General features: G+C 45.4%; 1 protein-coding gene across 8 annotated transcripts, besides 3 other annotated features; it reads right to left on the bottom strand.

The window, feature by feature from the left end:
• Positions 1-357: 357 nt before the first annotated feature.
• Positions 358-20,214, bottom strand: BNIP1 (BCL2 interacting protein 1). Of its 8 annotated transcripts, none has more exons than XM_011534638.2 (8): positions 20,116-20,214; positions 17,787-17,879; positions 13,051-13,179; positions 10,332-10,423; positions 5,900-6,001; positions 4,694-4,812; positions 2,600-2,672; positions 358-1,020 (listed from the first exon to the last, which is right to left on the bottom strand). In XM_011534638.2, exons 1-8 carry the CDS (start codon positions 20,197-20,199, stop codon positions 987-989), a joined length of 726 nt encoding a protein of 241 aa, XP_011532940.1. In that variant the 5' UTR covers positions 20,200-20,214; the 3' UTR covers positions 358-986. The 8 variants fall into 8 exon arrangements, with proteins under 8 accessions (XP_011532940.1, NP_053582.2, XP_047273579.1 ...); XM_011534639.2 differs by lacking the exon at positions 358-1,020 and adding an exon at positions 2,406-2,433; NM_013979.3 differs by lacking the exon at positions 2,600-2,672.
• Positions 19,482-19,551: an enhancer, noted in NCBI's record as "active region_23651". NCBI's record gives its function as "activates an Ori minimal core promoter by ATAC-STARR-seq in GM12878 lymphoblastoid cells {active_cell/tissue: GM12878}" and the evidence as "EXISTENCE:reporter gene assay evidence [ECO:0000049][PMID:35858748]".
• Positions 19,482-20,021: a biological region, named in NCBI's record as "H3K27ac hESC enhancer GRCh37_chr5:172571727-172572255".
• Positions 19,493-20,021: an enhancer, noted in NCBI's record as "H3K27ac hESC enhancer chr5:172571727-172572255 (GRCh37/hg19 assembly coordinates)". NCBI's record gives its function as "activates a minimal SCP1, AML or CMV promoter by ChIP-STARR-seq in naive H9 embryonic stem cells {active_cell/tissue: H9 hESC(naive)}" and the evidence as "EXISTENCE:reporter gene assay evidence [ECO:0000049][PMID:30033119]".
• Positions 20,215-24,032: the final 3,818 nt, after the last annotated feature.

The raw sequence follows: 24,032 nt of genomic DNA, 5'->3' as shown, positions 1-24,032 counted from the left end.
CCTAAAAATCTGGACATCAAGAAAAGAGGGCTGGGCATGGTGGCTCACACCTGTAATCCCAGCACTTTGGGAGGCCAAGATGGGTGGATCACCTGAGGTCAGGTGTTCGACAGCAGCCTGGCCAACATGGAGAAACCCCATCTCTACTAAAAAAATACAAAAATTAGCTGGGTATGGTGGTGTGTGCCTGTAATCCTAGCTACTTGGGAGGCTGAGGCAAGAGAATCTTTTGAACCCAGGAGGCAGAGGCTGCAGTGAGCCAAGATTGCGCCATTGCACTCCTGCCTGGATGATAGAGCAAGTCTCCATCTCAAAAAAAAAGAAAAAAGAAAAGAGGAACACACATTCCCAGAGGGCTATCTTACAAAATCAAATACATTTTATTCTATTAAATAAAATCAAGTTTATTCAAGGAATGACCAGGAGTTTTCATCACCTTTCTTCCTACCTCTTCTCTCTTCCCTCCACCAGATCTGGCATTTAAGGGCACGATGGGAGCGGGAGACAGGAGGGGCATCCGGTCCTGGAGGCTGGACTTTAAGTGCTCCACGCAGCAGCGGCCTCCCATAGTGCACAATGGTGGAAGGAGGCGGTTCGTATGTCCCCAGGGCGGCATCCCAATGCCAGACCTTCCTCCCATGGCTCTGTTCACCCTTTACAAGCCAGCTACTTGCAGAAAAGTGGGGCACTGTGTTCCATCCAACCTGCAGGCAACTGGTGCAAACGGAGGGGTGTGTGGCTCAGCTTAGCAGCCTAGAGCTCAGGAACCAGGACAGATCCTGAAACAGGAGCTGAAAGGGCCAGAACTGGCACCTTTGGGATCTCACAAAAATGGAAAGAGCCGCTTTTTCACAATATAGAGGACCGTAGCAAGAAACAGGGCTAGCGCAAGGAAGATGAGAAGCTTGTCCGTCAGCTCCCGGCGATTGTATTTTGTGATAAGCTTCCGGCCCAGCTGGATGGTGCCCGACATGGACTTAAATTCTTCATTTGCATCCAGGATCGTTCGTGAAGAAGTGACTGAAACAAAAGAGGAAGGAGGCCCAACTCAGAGACTGCAGCTCAAGATCCAAAGACCTCACTCTGCTGGCTGGGGTGCTGATAAAAACCAGCATTCTCAAGTGAGTTCCTCTGAGCTGGAATCAAAGCATGTGGAGACCAGCCAAGGAGCTGACAAGGAAAGGCTCCTCCCCAGGTCCCATCAGCTCCAGAGAGTGAGGGGGGGTTTGTCTGGGAGTCCTTGAACATGAGCGTCACCAGGGAGAAGGGCAGAAGAGGCTTGCTCACCCAGCCACCTCCTCAGCTCTCTGAAGCAGATGGACGCTGCTCAGGGAAACCACCAGCCACAAAATCAACCCAGGGATCGTGGGCAGGCACTGTGAGGTCTGTGTTGGGGCAGCAGCCAAATGCACCAGAACCTTCCACCTATGAGGTGCGGCCTCCAGGACATCTGCTGGCCAGACCGGCACTTTGCAGGATCTCAAAAGGGCAAGGGTGTCCCGGGCTCTGCCGTAAGCCCTCACACATACCAGTCCCTCAGGCCAGGGATACTGGCTGTAGCTTTAAGGAGGTGACACCTAAGAAGAGGCCCACGTCCCTTAAGGAATCACTGTCCCCAGAGTCAGATGTATTTCTGAATATGGGTATCTGGGCCTGACGCTGAGGGTAGAAGGTGTACCTGGCGAGGTTCTCCCACAAAACATAGCAAGGCATCATCAGAACAGCCATTGAATAGAACACATTAAGTGAAAAGGGAAAGTATAAAGGAACGCCTGTGAAATGTTTCCATTTAGGTAAGAAACAGGGAGATAAATGGTATTTCATTTGCTTAAGTTACAAAAGCTTGGAGGATCACAAGATATTTTTTAAGACACTGGTTACAGAGGTTGCCTCTGGGAAGTGGACCAGAGGGCTGGCAGGTAGGGGTCAGCTGGAGGTCAGAACAGAGAGTGATCTTTTTTGTGTCCCTTTTGTACTCTCCAGAGCTGTGCTGACCAATATGGCAGCCCCTAGACATGCGAGGCTGCTGTGCATAGAAAAACGTGGCTAATGCAAATGGAGATGTCAGGAGATGTAAGTGTCAAACCCACACAATGTTTCTTTTCTTTTTTTTTTTGAGATGCAGTCTCACTCTGTCACCCAGGCTGGAGTGCAGTGGCGTGATCTTGGCTCATCACAACCTCCACCTCCCAGGTTCAAATGATTCTCCTGCCTCAGCCTCCCCAGTAGCTGGGACTACAGGCATGCACCACCACGCCCAGCTAATTTTCTTTTTGTATTTTTAGTAGAGACAGGGTTTCAACATGTTGGTCAGGCTGGTCTCGAACTCCTGACCTCAAGTGATCTGCCCGCCTTGGCCTCCCAAAGTGCTGGGATTACCGGCATGAGCCACCGCGCCTGGCCAAAATCCACACGATGTTTCAAAGACTTAATCTAAGAAAAAGGAATGTAAAATATCTCAATAGTTTTTAATATTAGTTTTACATTGAAATTATAATATTTTACATAATGGGTTAAATAAACATCTTACTAAAATTAATTTCTTATGTTTCTTTTTACTTTTTAACATGTGCCTACTGGAAAATTTAAAGTTACATACGTGGCTGCTGTTGCGTTTCTATGGCAGTCCTGGGCTAGAGTTTTCTTATCCTTCTCTATGCTGTATGTGTTACCTTTTTAAAAATTAAAAGCTAATAAGTAAATAGGATAAATTATCAGAGGAAACACAGCAGCGTTTTGAAAATGACAGATAAAAGGAGAAAAACAAACACTCACAGAACAGGAATCCCTCTCCGCCTGCTTTCTCCACGCCTGCCTGCTGCGATTTCAAAACCCTGAGATCTTGCTAAGTAAAAATCTAATAGGCCTTTCTTTTTAAACTTTATTATTACGGAGAATTTTGAACCATCACAGAGCAGACAGCATAATATCATGAAATGCCATGTGTCCACCACCCATAACCAAGAACCACCAACCTCTGAAATCCTGCTCCCCCTCCCCCCAACTGCAACTACTCCTGCAATTGTGGAGCAAATTCCAGACACCATATTCCTAATAAGCTTTTTGTTTTAAAATTATGGTCCTAGTAGGCTTTTAAATCAAGCTGAATTTGTGAGGCATAAGGAAAGGGTTAAGAACTGTATTCTTCTCTTTTCTTCAATAGTTATCGCTTGTACAAAATGGGCCCCAAGAACACCGGGACCCTCTCAACACCCCAGAAGCCACCAGCATTTGTGTTTCCTTCCCACTGTTAGCGGGGGGTATGCTGTCGCCACACCAGAGCATAAAAGCCCTGGGCTCAGAGGCCAAGTTGTCGCCTTGCTCCCTCTCTCTCCAAGGCCTCTCCCACAGCACACGCTGAGAGGAAGCCCCTGGCTGGTTCCGAGCCCAGATGTTCAGGTAAGCTGCAAACTCAAGGAGTGACCTTGGGGTCACCTGCTTGCTTTCCTTTTGCTTCTGCCTATTTGGTGCACTGAAAAAACAGTGGTCCAAAATTATAATTTCTAGGGGTGATCATGGTATTGTAGTTATGGGGTTGCTTCTGCTTTTTCCCCAAAGAGTCCCTTATCTTTTAGAGAGATGTACTGAGATATTTATGGATGATGTCTGGGATTTGCTTCAAAATAATCCAGATGGGGGATGGGCTGAGGGTAGAACTGAAACGAGACTGGCTGGGGTAATGGACTCAGGGCTCAGGGGATTCAGGATACCATGCTTTCTCCTTTTGTCCACGTGTGCAATTTTCCAAAAGCGTTTCAAGGAGTAAACGCCCTTTTTCTGTTGTCTTATACTGAAGGACCCTGGAGAGGGCTGATACTCTTCTCCATCACAGAGGAGACACTCTGGGAAAACTATTGGAGGAAACCAGATGGTCTCAAGCAGTCTCTCCTGTAGCCTCTGATTCACATCTTTTAAAAGGAACTCATAGGAAAAATAACGTTGGGGAGTATAATTGTAAACTGAGGTCCTAGCAGTCCTACCAGCAGCTGATTCGCCAAACATCTCTTGGAGCAACCATTCCCAAACTTGCCTGGCCATATGGGTCCCCAGAGCCCTCACTGAAAATCAGACTCCAGGCCCCTCACCCAGCCCTGCCGACACCCTCTCTAGGAGAGGGGCTGGGACCTCTGCCTTTCACATGAACACATGGGAATGCTCCCCCTGAGGAAACATCGATGGGGGTGTGGGGTCTTCTAGTAAACAGAAATACGGGCCGGGCGTGGCATCTCACGCCTATAATCCCAGCACTTTGGGAGGCTGAGGCAGGCGGATCACCTGAGGTTGGGAGTTCAAGACCAGCCTGACCAACATGGAGAAACCCCGTCTCTACTAAAAATACAAAATTAGCCGGGTGTGGTGGTGCAGGCCGGTAATCCCAGCTACTTGGGAGGCTAAGGCAGGAGAATCGCTTGAAACCAGGAGGCAGAGGTTGCGGTGAGCTGAGATCGCACCATTGCACTCCAACCTGGGCAACAAGAGCGAAACTCCATCTCAAAAAAAAAAAAGAGAAATAGGAGCAGCACATCCCACACTGGATAAGACCATGGTGTCAAGTCATCTCATGAGGGAGAAGCCACCCAAGTCAGTGAACATCGTGTGGGCTGTGGTGGAGGAGCCCAGAGTGGAGGTGCCAGGGCAAGGGCCCTAGAGCAGCGTCTCTGGGAGAAGCTTCCTACTCCAGGCCCAGCTTTACCTAGAGACTGCATGGCCTCCTCGCTCTGCTGGACCTGCTGGGCCATCATCCTGCTGATCCCCATGAGGCTCTCAGTGATGGTACTGGATGTCTGGGCCAGGCTCTCTTTGGTGGTTTTCCTAAAAGTTCAGAGGAAGAGAAAGGGGAGGAATGTCAACAAAAGCCTCCCTGCAAGAAGGCCCCACATCCAAATGAGATCTCATGTTTTACCTATCCAATTAGTATACATATTTTAAATGATCACATTCAATGCTGGAAAGGGTGTGCTGAGACCCACGCCCCTGTGGACTGCTAGTAGGAACATAAACCAGTGCTGCCTTCTGTAAAGCAATTTGCCAATTGAAGAGCCTTGGTAATGTTCATTCCTTTGACTCAATCATCTCATCCCTGGAAATCCCTCCAAAGGAAACATCCAAAATGTGGATAAAGCCTTATGTTCTAAGACATGCCCTGGTGTATTACTTACACTACTTAAACACTAGAAATGCAAACACACACAGGGAATTGTATTAACATACAATCTACATACTATGTACTGTTAGAATTAGGCTTAAAAAGCTTTTTTTTTTTTTTTAATGAACAACTTTTGTGCTGAAACAGCAGAATATGAAATTTTATGTATGGTACAATTTTGACTTTGTAAGAAATGTAGAAATAAAAATGAGGGAGAGAATATACCAAAATGTTCATGAGTAATAAGATTTGATATTTTCGGCCGGGCATGGTGGCTCACGCCTATAATCCTAGCACTTTGGGAGGCTGGGGTGGGTGGATCACCAGAAGTCAGGAGTTCAAGACCAGCCTGGCCAACGTGGTTAAACCCCGTCTCTACTAAAAATACAAAAAATTAGCTGGGTGCAGTGGCACGCAACTGTAATCCCAGATACTTTGGAGGCTGAGGCAGGAGAATCACTTGAACCCAGGAGGCGGAGGTTGCGGTGAGCCAAGAGGGCACCACTGCACTCCAGCCTGGGCTACAAGAGTGAGACTTCATCTCAGAAAAAAAAAAAAATTCAATATTTTAATTTTGTAATTCATACTTTATTTTACCAATTTACTACAAATAAGTATGCATTTTTTTCAAACTTAAAAAAATTACTTATGTAATTAAATTAAGCACCAAGCTGAAAACAAGAGGGGGTTTCCTACACCTTGCCAATTGTTATCTATTATTATCGGAGCCCAGAAAAATAAAAGAATAGGTACCTTTGCCTTAAGAGATCTCCTCCCTGAAGAAGTTCTGCTTTCTCTAGATTGTCGATTGCAATTTTGCAGGTGAGATTAGCTTTCCTCCATGAGGCCTGATTGCTGGAATTGGAAGGTTCACGTGTGAGTGTGTCCACTCCACCAAGCCATAAGTCAGTTCAATTCACAGCACTTCCCCCCAACAAAGGCACACGGGAGAAGGCCACCAGGCACGGCCTTCAGAGCCCATCCCACCTCCTGCCACTTCCGCCTCCTGGTTCCCCAGCAACTGTTCTTGCTCAGGTCCTGATACCCCTTGACCGGACCCTGGAGGTCGCCACGGGGAGGCTCTGTTGCTGTCACTCTGCCCCCGTCAGCCCAAGGGGCTGTGAACATGGCACTCCTCTGTGCACAGCTCCACAATGGCTGGACTTCAGGGAGGCATCCAAACTTCCCAGCTGGTCACACAAGGCCCCTCTTCAGTCCAGTTGCCTCTAAGGCTGTACTGCTATGGCCTGTGTATTAATTGGTACCATCCCCGGAGAACCATGACTTACTCATCTCCAGTATCTTGAACAACCATTTCTGGCCCTTCAGCTGCTGAGTTAATATACTTTGTAGGAAATAAAAAATCGTGGCCAGGCACAGTGGTTCACACCTGTAATCATAGCACTTTAGGAGGCCGAGGTGGGGGGATCACTTGAGCCCAGGAGTTCAAGACCAGCCTGGGCAACATGGAGAAACCCCGTCTCTACTAAAAATACAAAAAATTAGCCAGGCATGGTGGTGGCGCATGCCTGTGGTTCCAGCTACCCAGGAGGCGGAGGAGCGAAGATCACCTGAGCCTGGGAAGTGGAGGTTGCAGTGAGCCGTGATAGTACCACTATACTCCAGCCTGGGTGACAGAGTAAGACCTTCTCTCAAGAAAAAAAAAAAAAAACACACACACACACACAAAAAGCCAATCTTTCAAAATATTTCTTCAAGGTTTGTTGTTCTTTCCATACTACAGACCAATCATGAATGACACAAACATGATGGATTAGCAGAGCCCTGACTGACACGGCGGATCTACAGTCTTCACCTGCGCTAACTTGTGGGTGATAACGGAAAGTTGGTGAACAGCTTCCTGGAGTTAGAAATGTGACAGTTGACCGGGCGTGGTGGCTCACATCTGTAATCCCAACACTTTGAGAGGCCGAGGCGGGTGGGTCACTTGAGGTCAGGAGTTCGAGACCAGCCTGGCCAACATGTTAAAACCCTGTCTCTACTAAAAATACAAAAATTAGCTGGACATGATGGCGAGTGCCTGTAATCCCAGCTACTCGGGAGTCTGAGGCAGGAAAATCACTTGAATCTAGGAGGCAGAGGTTGCAGTGAGCCAAGATCACGCCACTGCACTCCAGCCTGGGCAATGAGAGTAAGACTCCGTCTCAAAAAAAAAAAGAAATGTTGACAGTTGTTGATAGACTATAAAAAAGCTAACTGCGTCTCTCTAAGAATCAAACTCATACTTCAGAACTCTTATGTAGCCAGCTCAAACCAATTGTGCTAATCTCTGGAAATACTCAAAAATCAAAACACAGAGTACATGAACTGACAGGGTGGTTTTCTAATAGCACCTTTATGCTGAAGGTCTTAATGAGCACCTGCTCCGCCATTTCACACCTGCCACTTTAAAGAATCCATTACATTTTGAAACAGTTTGCAAGGGGGTTCTGCAGGACCCTGGGATCCAGAGATGAATGAGGGGCAGTACTTCTCCTCAACCACCTCACATTCATTTGGGAAAAAGACAAGCAAACAGATACTCACTGTATGGTGTGACAAGCATGATGACCCAAGCAAGCACAACTACTGCTTCAACTGCCAAAGTTGGTTTTTTTTGTTTTTTTTGTTTTTTTTTTGAGACAGGGTCGGCTGGGCACGGTGCCTCACGCCTGTAATCCCAGCACTTTGGGAGGCTGAGACCGGCGGATCATGAGGGTCAGGTGATCGAGACCGTCCTGGCTAACACGGAGAAACCCCATCTCTACTAAAAATATAAAAAATGAGCCAGGCGTGGTGGCGGGTGCCTGTAGTCCCAGCTACTCGGAGAGGCTGAGGCAGGAGAATGGCGTGAACCCGGGAGGTGGAGCTTGCAGTGAGCCGAGATTGCGCCACTGCACTCCAGCCTGGGTGACAGAGTGAGACTCTGTCTCAAAAAAAAAAAAAAACAAAAGAAAAGAGGCAGGGTCTCGTTCTGTCTCCTAGGCCAGGTGCAGTCACATGATCACGGCTCACTGCAGCCTTGACCTCCCGAGCCCACTGCCCTCCTGCCTTGGCCTCCCAAGTAGTTGAGACTACAGGCACACATCAGCATGCCCCCAGCTAATTTTTTTTTTTTTTAATAGATGAGGTTTTGCTTTGTTGCCCAGGATGGTCTTAAACTCCTGGGCTCAAGCAGTCCTCCTGCCTCGGCCCCCGAAGTGCTGGGATTATAGGTGTGAGCTACTGCACATAGCCCCAAAGTATAAATTGACAGCTTTCTCTGCTCTGGCCTGTAATGCTACATTGTGGATGGCCATTCCCAGCTTTAAACCCATGCTAAGCTGAGTGTGTCTGGCATAACTTACCATACTTTATACAAGGGCTCCTCTGTACTCAGTGTTTATAATCTGAGTAGGCTTGGTGGCTCAGGAAAGCAAAAGCCATCATAACATAAAGTATTCGTGAAATAGCCAAGCCCTGGATCACTGCCCACCACTCATACAGCCCTCCCTGCTTACACTGGCCTCCCTGTGCCTGTGTTTTTGCCAGTCGGTGTCTTCCTGACAGCTGACTGTTACATACACAGCTGCTTGCAGGGAAGATGATGCTGGCAAATTGCTCAAATCAGAAGCAAAGCCACAAATACAGATCTGGCAGAGGCAGACCAGTGAACAAGAGACAAAGAGAAAACCCATGGGAATGACAACTTAGCAGGGGTTTCAAAAGAGAATGATTTAGCCAGGCACGGTGGAGTGTGCTGTAGTCCCAACTACTTGGGAAGCTGAGGTGAGAGGATCGCTTGAGCCCAGGAGTTCCTGAGGCTGCAGTAAGCTATGACTGTACTCCAGACTGGGCAACAGAGAAGGACCTCATTTCCAAAATTTTTTAATTTTTTAAAAATAAAAATATTTTTTTTTTGTTTTTAAGGTGGAGTCTCACTCTGTCACCCAGGCTGGAGTGCAGCAATCTCGGCTCACTGCAACCTCTGCCTCCCGGGCTCAAGCGATTCTCCTGCCTCAGCCTCCCGAGTAGCTGGGATTACAGGTGTGTGCCACCACACCCGGCTAATTTTTGTATTTTTAGTAGAGAGGGGTTTCACCATGTTGGTCAAGCTGGTCTCGAACTCCTGACCTCATGATCTGCCCACCTCGGCCTCCCAAAGCGCTGGGATTCCAGGCGTGAGCCGCCGCACTGGGCCAAAAATGTATTTTTAAAAAAGAGAGAGAATGATCTGAATACCTCAAATATGTTTGGAAAAACCCTCTTTATGATTGGTACAAAAGTCAAATGTGAAGGGAAAGATACTGTTTCATGTTGTCTGACAATTTCATTGGAAAAGTTAAACCTCTCCCAATTCAATAACAAGAAATGGCATATAACTGTAACTATATAATCAAGGATTAGCACACACCTGCAATTACAACCTCGATTTTGGTTTTAATTTTTGACCTCAATTTTGTTTAATTTACGGTTTTTCTTGCATTTTATTTTATTTTATTTTTAGACAGCATCCCACTCAAAACCTTCTAAATTTTGGTCCACCTTCAGCAGGTTTTCTTTCTGTAGATTTTTTCTGGTACCAATTATCCTTAGATAAAAAATGACCCTGTATTACAAAAGCAATCATATTTTTTGATTAAAAATATACAATACAGTATAATGTTAAATATGCTTTTGTAAACTATGTTCAGCTCCACCTGCTCAGATAGGCCCTATTTATCCCTTCCCCACTCGCCCCCACTTGACTATTGCTGACTGAGAGAGAACATTCCACCAGTGTGTAACTGATGCAATTGGCTGGGCGTGGTTGCTCACACCTGTAATCCCAGCACTTTGGGAAGCCAAGGTGGGTGAATCACATGAGGCCAGTGTTAGAGACCAGCCTGGCCAACACAGCGAAACTCTGTCTCTAGTAAAAATACAAAAATTAGCCAGGCGTGATGGTGGGCGCCTGTAATCCCAGCTACTCAGGAGGCTGAGGCAGAAGAATTGCTTGAACTCGGGAGGCAGAGGTCACAGTGAGCCAAGATCAGGCCACTGCACTCCAGCCTGGGCAATAGAGCGAGACACCGTCTCTCAAAAAAAAAAAAAAGACACCATTAAGTCAGCATTAAAGCAGATCCATCAGGCAAACACACGTGCAAGGCTCACAGGCAACAAGAAGAGCCAGCAGAAGCCGCTGGCGGGGGCAGGCCCTGCCTACCTGAGCATCTGCTTTTTGTGATTCTCCACTTCCTGGAGTAGAAGTTGTTTCTCTGATTCTTTGTCTTGCTCTTTAGCCAACTGCTCCAGGTCCTTTGAGGAAAAATAATTCCATGTTAAAATGATTTCAAAAGTCAACATGAAAGCAGAAGAGCATTTCTATTTCTGCCAAGGGCATACAATAGCACTTGAAGCACCCTTTTAAAACAGAACACCTAGGAATGCTAGGTAACATATAACACACATCCTTTTAAATCTATAGCTAAGTCCACAAGGAAGTAAGGAAAACCCCTATGGCCCAAAAGTGGGAAGGGAACAAGAGCTGGAATAGTCAGCCTGGGAGTGATGCACGGCTGTCCTGGCGTCAGAGCTGCTGCTCCTGTCACCTAGGGCAGGCCCGAAAGGAAAAGAAAAACAATGACGAAATACAAGCACACTGATCCCCCACTTAGATATCATTAAAATATCAAACTGCTGTTCATTTCCAGATACTCACAATTTCTGTGCCTATTTAATTAAAGACGAGTAATAGGCAGTTTGAGCGCTTGAAGGTTTGAGAGCTCGTGCAGGGACAGAAAAATGAAGCCCTGAGCCATCTGAGGCTGAGGTTGAGAAGCTGAACTGAGATCACCACAAATCTAAAACCCACGAAAGGTTACAGACACAGGAAAATGGTATAAAAAAATGTCCATCTACCAGCACAGAGGGAAAACATAGATGCTTGCCTTTTTTTGCTATGAGTTCCAAATAGAGGGGTTAAAAAAAAACTCCCCTGAGAATTTATAACCAACCAGGGAGCTGCTCCTTCCACTGATCTAGGGTTCAATTTATCTTCCCTGAGTGGTTCGTGAAACTCCATGAAGAGAAATGAACATAAACAGTGTTCTCGGCCGGGCGCAGTGGCTCACGCCTGTAATCCCAGCACTTTGGGAGGCCGAGGCGGGGAGATCACGAGGTCAGGAGATCGAGACCATCCTGGCTAACATGGTGAAACCCCATCTCAACTGAAAATACAAAAAATTAGCCGGGCGTGGTGGCGGGCACCTGTAGTCCCAGCTACTCAGGAGGCTGAGGCAGGAGAATGGCGTGAACCCGGGAGGCAGAGCTTGCAGCAAGCCAAGACTGCGCCACTGCACTCCAGCCTGGGCGACAGAGAGAGACTGTCTCAAAAAAAAAAAAAATGTTGTCAGACTTGTGATCATCTCAGGAGACCTGGCGGGAAGCTAATGCAAAAACCTCTGTAGAGACTTGGCCTCGACCCAGCTGCACAAAGTCCCTCAGATAAGGTCTGCTAAGATGAGCGCTCACAGTCCAAAATAACCTAACACCAAGGAAATAACCCACTATAAGTTAGGGTCAGCAGACATACCCAGAAGTATTAAACCCCAAGAACTTCAGATAAAAGAACCATCAAGAGGGACTATAATTAAAGATAGCATTATACCAATCACATTTTTTGGTTTACAAATTAAAACAGGTTCTAGCTTCAATCACGCTATTGATCTGAAACATCAATGTATTTGCTCATTTATATACTAATTTACTGATTTACGTATCAATTTGCACATACTGGTTTGGAACAAGTTTGTGTATCCACCATTTCAATAGCACAGAGATGACTTTCAATTTATGCCTCCAAATATTGCTGAGGTAGAGAATAAAAGAAATAATCAACTGTGAATTAGAAAAGTTTTGCAAATGTCATCAATTATTTTCATAATTATTTGTTTAAAATCTGTATTCCCTATTAGAATGTAAATTCTATGGGCTGGGCCTGGTGGTTCACGCCTATAATTCCAGCACCTTGGGAGGCCAGGGCAGGCAGATTACGAGGTCAGGAGATCAAGACCATCCTGGCTAACACGGTGAAACCCCGTCTCCACTAAAAATACAAAAAATTAGCCAGGCGTGGTGGCGGGCGCCTGTAATCCCAGGTACTCGGGAGGCTGAGGCAGGAGAATGGCGTGAACCCGGGAAGTGGAGATTGCAGTGAGCCGAGATCGTGCCACTGCACTCCAGCCTGGGCAACAGAGTGAGACTCCGTCTCAAAAAAAAAAAAAAGAATGTAAATTCTATGAATAAGCAGAGCTGTATCTCACATTATTCACTACATATATTCCTTGTGCCTGGCACATACTGGGCACTGAGTCACTGAATGGAAGAATGAACGCATGGGAAAAGCGGAGGGATTAAAAAGGGGGAGAAATGTACAATTTACTCATGAAAGATTGCCTGGAAGTTCTTTCAAAGAGAACCAGTGATAGTTCTGGAGAAAGGAATGGCGGGGGAGAGCAGTCCTCAAATTCCAGTTTGAGAGCTATATGTACAAAGACAAACACACAGATATTTATACACAGTCAGTGCCCAAGATTCACCATGTGCAGAACACCCAGTTTTGAGGATATGAGGCCAGTTCTCTAGTATCACATGATCTTGTTGGAAATACACAAAAAAGACATTCAAATAAAAGCTAAAAATGGCAAACAAACAGGAATCTTGTATTTATTTCCAGATACAAAAAGAGTATGTAAATACTTAAGAAACGCAGATTAAAACTGGGATGGGGTTATTCATTTACTGGCCATGTGCTTATTAGGTCCTTCCTAGGTGCCATAATAAATATGTAAATGTACACGTATTGGTGAGGTCATTTTAATGAGTGAAGGAAATAAACACTGGGTGGGCACCCAGATGTTTAAAAAGAACATACAAATACTCACACTGAAGGTAACAGGTGTAGTTGGAGAGTTGAAGTCATGCTGAGTTGAAGAAAAGTCTGTCAGGGAATAAGTTAGCTTAAAAAAAAATGTGGAAGCAGTCCAAATAAATGCCCTTTGATAGAGAACTGGCTAAAAAAAAAAAAAAAAATGACAGTTATTTAGAAAAGAATGAGAGACCAGGTGTGGTGGCTCCTGCCTGTAATCCCAACACTTTGGAAGGCTGAGGCAGGCAATCACTTGAGTCCAGGAGTTCAAGTCCAGCCTGAGCAACATGGCAAAACCCTGTCTCTATAAAAACTACAAAAATTTGCTGGGTGTGGTGGCGCACGCCTGTAGTCCCAACTATTTGGGGGACTGAGGCAGGAGGAAAATCGCTTGAGCCTGGGAAATCAAGGCTGTGGTGAGCTGAGATTGTGCCACTGCACTCTGGCCTGGGTGACAGCCCAAGACCCTGTCTCAAAAAAAGAAAAAAAAAGAAAAATGAGGACAGTCTCTGATTACTGAAATGGAAAAATTTCCAATATACGTATAATAAAATTATACTTAACAGTATAAGTTTTGACCGGGCGCGGTGGCTCACGCCTGTAATCCCAGCACTTTGGGAGGCTGAGGCAGGCTGATCACAAAGTCAGGAGATCGAGACCAGCCTGGCTAACACGGTGAAACTCCGTCTGTACTAAAAATACGAAAAATTAGCTGTGTGTGGTGGCACACACCTGTAATCCCAGCTACTTGGGAGGCTGAGGCAGGAGAATCGCTTGAACCCAGGAGGTGGAGGTTGCAGTGAGCAGAGATCACACCTGCACTCCAGCCTGGGAAACAGAGCCAGACTCCGTCTTAAAAAAAAACAAAAAAACAAAAGTATAAAGTTTTTAAAAGCTGTGTGTTAGTATGCTACTTTTTAGATGAGAAACAAGGAAGAAATTTTAAAAAAAAAGAAATTTGTCTTTTTAAATATTTGAGTAGAGAAACTCTGGAATGACATATCAGTAACAAAAGTGGTTACCTGTTTGGAAGAGTGGAACAAAAAACAAAACTGGGGCATAACTGAGACTTTTCACTGAATGTTGATACTTATAGACAGACACATACATAAAACATGTAAAAGGAACATCTTTTCAAAAATAAAAAATTAAGATGATTAAATCAGTACTGGAGATGAAGGCAGGAAGAGATCAGCTAGGTATGGTGACGCTGCTGAAAATCATATAGTTAACTCCAATAGCAAAAATTACACATTTTCAAAATTGCCCTTGAAAATCTCTGAGGTAGGCAAACACAGGACACAGACATACTGTTTCTCAGGGGTCCAACTGGCCAGCTTTTCTACCAGCTTTAGAACAGACTGTCTTCCTCTGTTAAGCAACAACAGAGTTGCTGGTGGGCTTTGGGGGCCATGTTATATGAAAAGCACAAGTCTTTTTTTTTTTTTTTTTTGAGACAGGGTCTTGCTCCGTCACCCAGGCTGGAGTGCAGTGGCACAATCTTGGCTCAATGCAACCTCCAACTCCCAGGTTCAAGCAATTCTCATGCCTCAGCCACCCAAACAGCTGGGATTACAGGCACGGGTCACCATACCCAGCTAATTTTTATACTTTTAGTAGAGATGGAGGTTGACCATGTTGACTAGGCTGGTCTTGAACTCCTGGCCTCAGGCGATCCACTCGCCTTGGCCTCCCAAAGTGCTGGGATTACAGGCGTGAGCCACTGTGCTGGCCAAAAAAGCTCAAGTCTTTAGACCTGATATAGTCTGAATATTTGTCCCTGCCCAAATCTCATGTTGAATGGTAATCCCCAGTGTTGGAGGTGGGGCCTGGTGGGAGGTGTTTGGATCATGGGGGTGGATCCCTAATGAATGGCATAAGTCATCCCCTTAGTGGTAAGTGAGCTCTCACTCAATCTCTCTCTTGCTCCTGCTTTTGTCATGTGACATGCCTGCTCCCTTTGCCTTCTGCCATGACTGGAAGCTTCCTGAAGCCTCCCCAGAAGCAGATACTGCTATGCTTCCCATACAGCCTGCAGAACCTTAAGCCAATTAAACCCATTTTTTTAAATAAATTACCCAGCCTCAGGTATTTCTTTACAGCAATGCAAGAAAGGCCTAATACAAAACCCCAATACCACAAGACCAGGTGCCACAAGACCCATCCAGGGATGGTGATATGGTTTGGCTGTGTCCCCACCCAAATCTCATCTTGAATTGTAACTCTCACAATATGTCATGGGAGGTACCTGGTGGGAGATGATTGAATTACAGAGGTGGGTCTTTCCTGCACTTTTCTCATGATAGTGAATGAGTCTCATGAGATCTGATGGTTTTAAAAACAGGAGTTTCCCTGCACAAGCTCTCTCTTTGCCTGCTGCCATCCATATAAGACGTGACTTGCTCCTCTTTGCCTTCTGCCATGATTGTGAGGCCTCCCCAGCCATGTCAGAAGTCCATTAAACTTCTTTTTCTTCCCAGTCTCACGTATGTCTTTATCAGCTGCATGAAAACAGACTAATACAGATGGGCAGATCCATGACACCCACCTCACCCTCACTGAAGGTACAGCAGGGGAAACATCTCCACTATTCAAACTGCTACTTCTAAGAGACCTCCAGAAGTCTAGAGGAGCAGGCATGTTTCCACACTCAGGTACCTCCTGACTCTCCTAGGTCCCACTAGGGCAGAGTAAGTGCTAGTTCTCTGCCAACCCAACATTAGGTCCTGTGGCTGCAGTGAGAAGAATTCCAGGAGAAAACTCAGGAATAAAAATGGAGAACGTAAGACATCAGACTGAAATTACTAGAAACCCTCAGGAAATAAAGAAGGAAGAAGAAACCAAGAAACCAGAAAAACCATCAGAACAGTAATCAACCCTTGGAGTGACCAGGAGATCCAGAGTTCCCTAAAAGAATGCAATTATCTCAAATTTGAATAACTGAAGAAGAATCATGAACAATATAAAGCAACTGCCTAGTGCTTCAAGTAGAGGGGCATGAAGAGGAGCCGGCAGGAATGTCTCCAGATAATGACAAGTTTGCAGGACTTTTACTGAACTACTCATGAGGCTAAACAGAGGCCAAGGAGCCAACCCTGTTCCTGTCCTCAGGGAGAGGGCCTACACAGGATTCCAGGATACAGATGGACAGCATCTTTTTAAGTGTGCAGATGCAGTCATCCTTCCAACTCCTGAGTTCCAGCCCTGGGCCTGTGCCATCCCTATTCACTTTGAGGGGCTGCTGTGGGCCCCTCTACCCATGAGCTGCATGCAGGATCCTTGGATGCCCAGATGGCAGCCTTGAAACATGACCCCTCCATAGTCAGCTCCATACGTGTTTCCTCTCAGCAGCCCCCAGACCCACAAGTGGTCTTCATCCTCTGATTCTGATCTAGATTCTGAACTTGGAAACAATTAGAAGCTGAATCCCAATTCTGTCTGAAAGCAACACAATAGTCTGGGCTCATGCCTGTAACCCCAGCACTTTCAGAGGCTGAGGCAGGAGGATTGCTTGAGCCCAGGAGTTTAAGACCAGCTCAAGCAACATAGAGCAAAAAATCCATCTCTATTAAAATATATATATATATATATATATATATATATATATATATATATATATATATATATTTTTTTTTTTTTTTTTTTTTTGACACAGAGTCTTGCTCTGTCACCAAGGCTAGAGTGCAGTGGCACGATCTCTGCTCACTGCAACCTGCACCTCCTGGGTTCAAGCGATTCTCCTGCCTCAGCCTCCTAAGTAGCTGAGATTACAGGTGTGTGCCACCATGCCCAGCTAATTTTTGCATTTATCAGAGACAGGGTTTTGCCATGTTGGCCAGGCTGTTCTCAAACTACTGGCCTCATTTTCATTTTTAAAAATGAAAGCAACAGAATAACATGATCTATACAGTGGTGCACAACTCTTTGCCCAGCCCAATGTAATAAGAATAAAATGTGAAATAAATAAAACAAACAAACATAACTGCTACTTGTCACCCTCTAGTGTTTTTTGAGACAGCACATATACCATACTTGAATTCAGGCATACTAAATGTGTATATGATGTGACTGGTGACTATTGAAATAAGGAAGATGCTGAGCAAAGTAACAGCATAAAAAAAAACCCAGGAGTGTGATGGATTGAGGTAGTGAATGAATGAATAGGGTAGAAAGAATGGCAGAGAAGAGAAAGTATTTGAAGTGGCCCCAGGATTTCAAAAATTCCAAGGATAATGGTGTTCCTGCCATTCACTCGTTCACACAGCTGGCAGTGTTCTGCATGCAAAAGTTTCTTGTTTTTTTTTTTGAGACAGAGTCTCGCTCTGTCGCCCAGGCTGGAGTGCAGTGGCTCGATCTCGGCTCACTGCAAGCTCCGCCTCCTGGGTTCACGCCATTCTCCTGCCTCAGCCTCCTGAGTAGCTGGGACTACAGGCACCTGCCACCATGCCCGACTAATTTTTTGTATTTTTAGTAGAGACGGGCTTCACCGTGTTAGCCAGGATGATCTCGATCTCCTGACCTCGTGATCTCCCCGCCTCGGCCTCCCAAAGTGCTGGGATTACAGGCGTGAGCCACCGTGCCCGGCCAAAAGTTTCTCGTTTTTACCTGGAGAGCAGGTTAGTACAGAGTCACCCTCCCTGTCTAAGTGTTTACTGCTCCCATCAGCTGGTGTTTGAAGAACCCAGACGGCTCTCAAGCAGAGGATATACCCAGGACAGAGCCCCCTTCATTGACTGAATTGAGAATACCCACCTGTATTCTGTGACGCAACTGTTGAAATTTCTCTTTTACTTTAGTATTCAGTTCAGTAAGAGCACTTAAGGGTCCTGAACAATCACGGATATCCTAGGAGACATTGAACAGATGAAAGGCCTTTCTCAAGGCAATGAAATGAAATGACACCATCCATACAGTGATAGAGTTGGTTTAGACCAACTAATATTAACATACTAACTATAATTCATCCTGATCTTTGCTGTTTACCTCTGCAACACAAGCAAAAACATTATCATTTACATTTTTCTCATTCCTTTTTAGATTAATGTTGAATTAATATAAAAGCCTAGAAAGAAACACAACTGCTTTGACCTAATTTTTAGTGCCTAAATTTTAACAAAACATTACCTGGCCAGTAGGAAACAGCTTAAAACAGCTTGTATGCCCAACAAGAATGGACATGCAAAAGTGATACTATCACTTTAGAACCTTAGATCCTTCCAACTTGGAAGATCAGGATGTTTAAATATCTGGCATCATATGATGAGATTAACTTCTCCAGTGTGATTTTACAAACCATTAGTGATAAGTTAGAGTGTTTATATAGACATGTTTAAGGGCAGATTTAGAATCTGTTGCTGGACATTCAGAATTACTGGTGCCAGCTTTCACGGCAGGCTCTGGAGACAGACCAGGTGGATTCGAATCCTGGCTGTAGCAACTTATGAGCTGTGTAAAGTTACCTGGAAAGTTATTTAAATTCTCTGTGTCTGAGTTTCCTTATCACAACACTACTTACCTCATAGAACATCATAGATTATGTATGTATGTAAAGCACTTAGCAGAGCTGCTGGAAAACGGTAAGAACGCAATACATCCAGCTATAATCAGTCTTTCTCATCAGCAATGACAAGAACCCAAATGTTAGAAAGAGTACAGAAGAATGCCTAAGCAATTTAGATTATGTGAAAATGTAATTTCATTTGTATGAAACCTGTTTATTTTTCTATAATTGGCCCAGAAGTTTTGTAATGTATACATCAGAGAAGTGAAGTTCAAGAAGTTTTAAATATCTGCATCAAATTTCACTTTTTCTCTGGCTTATTCATTTAATCACACTTCTTTGCACCGTATTTGTTTATTCTGCATCTAATTTGGTTTATTCTGCATCTGGTTTATCTGGGGAGCCCTATTTTCCTGCACTTTTTGCCACACCTTGTTACAAACTCTGAGTCTACATCTAATGTTTAGTGACTTTGTTGAAAATGATTATTTTTAAAAACCAAGGTTTAGGCCGGGCGCGGTGGCTCACGCCTGTAATCCCAGCAATTTGGGAGGCCGAGGCGGGCGGATCACGAGGTCAGGAGATCGAGACCATCCTGGCTAACACGGTGAAACCCCGTCTCTACTAAGCAAAACACAAAAATTAGCCGGGCGTGGTGGCGGGTGCCTGTAGTCCCAGCTACTCAGGAGGCTGAGGCAGGAGAATGGCGGGAACCCGGGAGGCGGAGCTTGCCGCGAGTCGAGATCGCGCCACTGCACTCCAGCCTGGGCGACAGAGCGAGACTCCGTCTCAAAAAAACAAAAACAAACAAGCAAAAACAAGGTTTAAAACTCGGTTTCTTTTTGCTGAACTCATGGAACCGTGTCTACACTCCCAATTCTTGCCTAAGTCCACTCGTTTATTTTACCTCTACCCTTAAATGGCTTAAGGCGAAACACTTCATTTCCTATCTGTTCAAACGGGGTAACACTCTAAGGTGTTATTCCTAGGTTGACTTTCACAGTCCAGGTCCCAGTTTTGCCACTGACCCAGGTATGCCTTCTAACCTAGGCCTTGGCGCCGTACTCGATTTCCTCAAGCATAAAATCACAACTACGGTCCAGGTTACATTCGTTTCACCCGGTGCCTCCCGTGCCAGGTGGCCTTGGATGCCAGGAGAGCTGGCCAGCAGGGGGCGGGGCTAGCTGCCTCCCGGACGCTACCAGAGGATGCTGAAGCAGCGTCAGAGGGCGGGGCCAAGCAGGGTGACAGGTAGGTTGTGAGGTAGTCAGGGGCGGGGCGACGACCAGGGCTGCAGGTGGAAGGGGCAAAGCCGAGCCCCGAAGCAGTAGCTGAGTCAGGGGCGGAGAACAGTGGGGTGCTCTGGGGATGGGAGATCCGGCGGCACCCGGAAAAAGGATCAAGGCCAGCAGTCACCGGGACACAACCAAATGGGGACCGGGGGGGTAGCCGACCATGGGGCGGAGCCTGTGGTCTGGGAAACCAAGTGGGGAAAGTTCGGGAGTGACACTGCCAAGCTCACAGACCAGCAGAGCTTGGGTTAGGGCTGCTGGAGCCCGGCAGGGGTCCCGGGATCAGTACCTGAATAAGCGCCTTCACCTCCAGGTCAAATTTGACAATCTCTTGGTTACAGATCCGGACGTGGACGTCTTGGGGAGCCGCCATGTTGGGGACGCCGGCTACGGGCAGCGGCAGGACCCAAGTTCAAACGCGTTTTCGCACCACCTTCTTTCCCTCCCCACCCAGTCTCGGGGCAGCGCCCCCTAGAGACCGGCGAAAATGGCAAGCGAGGGTCACTGCGCAGAGTTGGGACTTTCCCTGACACGTGTAGGGAAATCAGCCTCTCCTCTTGGTATGGCCCTAATAACATGGAGAGGAAGGGAAGAGGGAATATCAAGAACGCTTCACAGTGGTCTCTTTCCATCTTCCTTCTGTCAGGCATTCTAATAACTATATATTTTTTACATAGAAAAAAAAAGACTGGAAGAAAAGTATCAATTGAGATGTCTCTGGAAAGTACCAGTAATAATTTTTTGTTTCTTCAAACTTTCTTATATTTTTAATATTTTCTACAGTGAGTATAAATTGTGGAGTAAAAGAGGAAATGATAAACGTCATATATTTTTTAAAGTATGGAGTTCAAGGCAGGTCGGTAGAGTACCTCCTATCACTCCAACACATGATCTAAGGGATCTTTGTAAAACACGAAATTGATCAAGTCACCTACCTGTATGCAGCCCTTCTATGGCTTCTCGTGTTTCCCTTTTGTATACAACTGGATTTATTAAATCTACCTTGCTAAGGTAGTTTTGATGGAAATGTCAGAGCAAACCCTCAACAAATGGTGGCTCTTTTATTTTTGTTAGTAAATAATCCAAGTTTCTTAGCTGGTCCTCAAGGCCATCAGCCACCCCGGCCATCAGCCACCGCACCCTGCGCCCTTCCTGGATTGCTCAAGCTCCTTCTGGATGTGTAGCCTTAGAATGTGGTGTTCCCTCTCCCTAGAAAGCGTTTCCCCCACTCGACCCCACTCCATCTGCATTTGTTCGGGTCACTTCAGCAAGCATAGATTGTGAGGACCTAAAGGCTTAGGACTTGAATGTTCATCTCTCTCTCTTTTTTTTTTTTTTTTTTTGTGGCGGAGTCTCGCTCTGTTGCCCAGGCTGGAGTGCAATGGCACAATCTTGGCTCACTGCAAACTCTACCTCCCAGGTTCAAGCAATTCTCCTGCCTCAGCCTCCTGAGTAGCTGGGATTACAGGTGCGTGCCACCATGCCCAGCTAATTTTTGTATTTTTCATAGACACGGGGTTCACCATATTGGTCAGGTTGGTCTCGAACTGACCTCGTGATCCACCCGCCTCGGCCTCCCAAAGTGCTGGGATTACAGGCGTGAGCCACTGTGCCCGACCATGTTCATCTCTCTTAATCCTCACAACCACCCTTGAAATTGTACTACACTATTATCACAGATCAGGAGTAGGGCTTAGAGTAAATTAAAACAAAAAACAATCAACCCTGTTGCAAGATTACCTATCTTGAAAGTGGCAAAGCCTAGGCCGGGCACGGTGGCTCATGCCTGTAATCCCAGCACTTTGGGAGGCCGAGGCGGGTGGATCACGAGGTCAAGAGATCGAGATCATCCTGGCTAACACGGTGAAACCCCGTCTCTACTAAAAATATAAAAATTAGCCGGGCGTGGTGGCGGACGCCTGTAGTCCCCGCTACTTGGGAGGCTGAGGCAGGAGAATGATGTGAACCCAGGAGGTGGAGCTTGCAGTGAGCCGAGATCGCCCCACTGTACTACTCCAGCCTGGGCGACAGAGCAAGACTCCATCTCAAAAAAAAAAAAAAAAAAAGAAAAAAGAAAGAAAGAAAGTGGCACAGCCTCTACTGAAAGCCATCTTTTCCCCAAAAAATCAATATGGTCCCCACCTGTTGTAAGCGGGGCTATGTGCTTGTCTGTGTCCCTACAGCCCTCTACACACCCTCTCGTAAGGTATTCATCACCCCACTGCACCTAATAGAGAGGCAGTGTATCACAGGCTTGGCATCTGCCTGGGCTCAAATCCTGTCCACCACACACTTCGCATGCCTGTGCCTCTGTCTCCTCGGAAGCTAACTGGTGATAATCAATTGCGCCTACTTCACAGGTTGGAGAATTAAATGAGAAAATACATGAAAAGCACCAAGCACAGTGTGCTAATGTGGCATATAGTAAGATCTCAATGCCCGTTAGCTGCTGTTATTCTACTACTAGCCCACATTTTGGGAGCACTTCCTATGTGCCAGGAACTTTGTACTAAGCGCTTCATGTGTGTCTCGCTTAACTCTTACAACAACTCTGTGAGGTAAAAACGGGGCAGAGAGGAATAATGACTTGCCCAGAGCAAATGGAGTTGCTAGGTCAAAGGATATATGCATTTAAAAATTCTGACATATTACCAAATTGCTCTTCATAGGGATTATGTCAATCCATACTCCCTCCAGCAACATGGCATAAATGCCTGTTTCCCGTGGCCTTGTCAACAGGATAGGTTAACAAACATTGGAAGTTTTGCCAATCTGATTAGGTAGAAATGCCTTCTTTAGTTTATGCTTTTCTGATCATGAAGGAGGCTGAGAAACTCTACCTATGCTTCAGAGCTATTTGCATTTATTCTATTGTCTGCTCATTGTTCTATTGGGTTGTTGGTTTTTTTCATATCCGTTTCCAGGAACTCTATATATTAGGAGGATTAGTCCTTAGAGATGAGTTTCAAAGCTTTTCTATTTTCATTTTTTTTTAAAGACATCTACAGCCTTAAAAAGTCTATAGAACTTTGATTTAGCTTATGGTTTTTGTTAATCTTGTTTTACATTGAATTTATCAATCTTCGTTTATGATTCCTGGATTCGTGGTCCAAATTACAGGGATTTAAAGGGATTGCCCACATTTCCTTGTAGTGTTTTTATGGGTGGTTTTTTGTAGCTTTTTTTTTTTTTTACACTTAGATCATTATCTATTTTGAAATATATGTTGGCTTATGGTGTGAGATATAGACCCAATTTTACTTTTTCCGGAGGTTACTTAGTTATTCCAATACTATTTAATGAAGAGTCTACCTTTTGCTCACTGGTTCTGGATGCCACATTTGCCATACTAAATTGTCGTATATGTTTGAGTCTACTTTTAGACCTTCTATTCTGCTTGACTGGCCTATTCATGTATCAAAATTAGTTTTAACTATTATGGTTTTATAACGACTTTTAGTATCTGCTAGGATTAAATAACTCTTCCCCTTGTCCCCTGCATCACTGCCCCCTCAGCCCCACTGCCTACCAGCATCTTCCAGCTATTTTATCCCTGTGTAAACTTTTTTTTTAAACCCTCTTGGTATGTTTTCTTAGGATGACATTTTTTAGCAATATTATATTTTTAATTTAACTTACCACTGTTAGTTCTATGTCACTGCTCCTGTGTAAGAACTTGGTGTATCTTTCAATTTATTCCAGTTTCCTTCTGTGTCCTTCACAGTACTTTCAAAGTTTTCTTTATCCTAGGCCTTGTATACATTTTCTGTTAAGTTTATTCCTGGTAATATTTTCAGGTTAAAACCTTTTAAAGAAACTGAGGTTTACTTTCTTCAGGTCACTCCAGTGTTTTGGATACTCACATAGAAGCCCCCTGTTTAGGACAGCAGAGAAGCCCCAAAGCCAGCAGCTGGCAGACCTGCAGACGTGCCCTTGGGACCCCGTTCACATCATGCTTCTTGTTGAATATTCATATGCAATCAACAGTCCCCAGTTGCATCTCTTATGCTGCAGCTAAAGAAGAAAACATAAGCTCCCTTTTTCTCTACCCTCCAATATACTTCCTTCCAATAAGGGGACCCAATCCTAAACCTTAAGCTAGAGGCCATCTTCGAGGAACAGATGTGCAGTCTGGTGATCATTACACGCAATCACTGATTCCTCTCAACTCTGTTTTGCTTCCCCTATCACCTTTACCCACTGATC

The sequence above is a fragment of the Homo sapiens genome, chromosome 5, assembly GCF_000001405.40.
Source record: "Homo sapiens chromosome 5, GRCh38.p14 Primary Assembly".
In the NCBI taxonomy this organism is placed as follows: Eukaryota; Metazoa; Chordata; class Mammalia; order Primates; family Hominidae; genus Homo; species Homo sapiens.
This window is presented reverse-complemented; position numbering and strand designations above follow the sequence as displayed.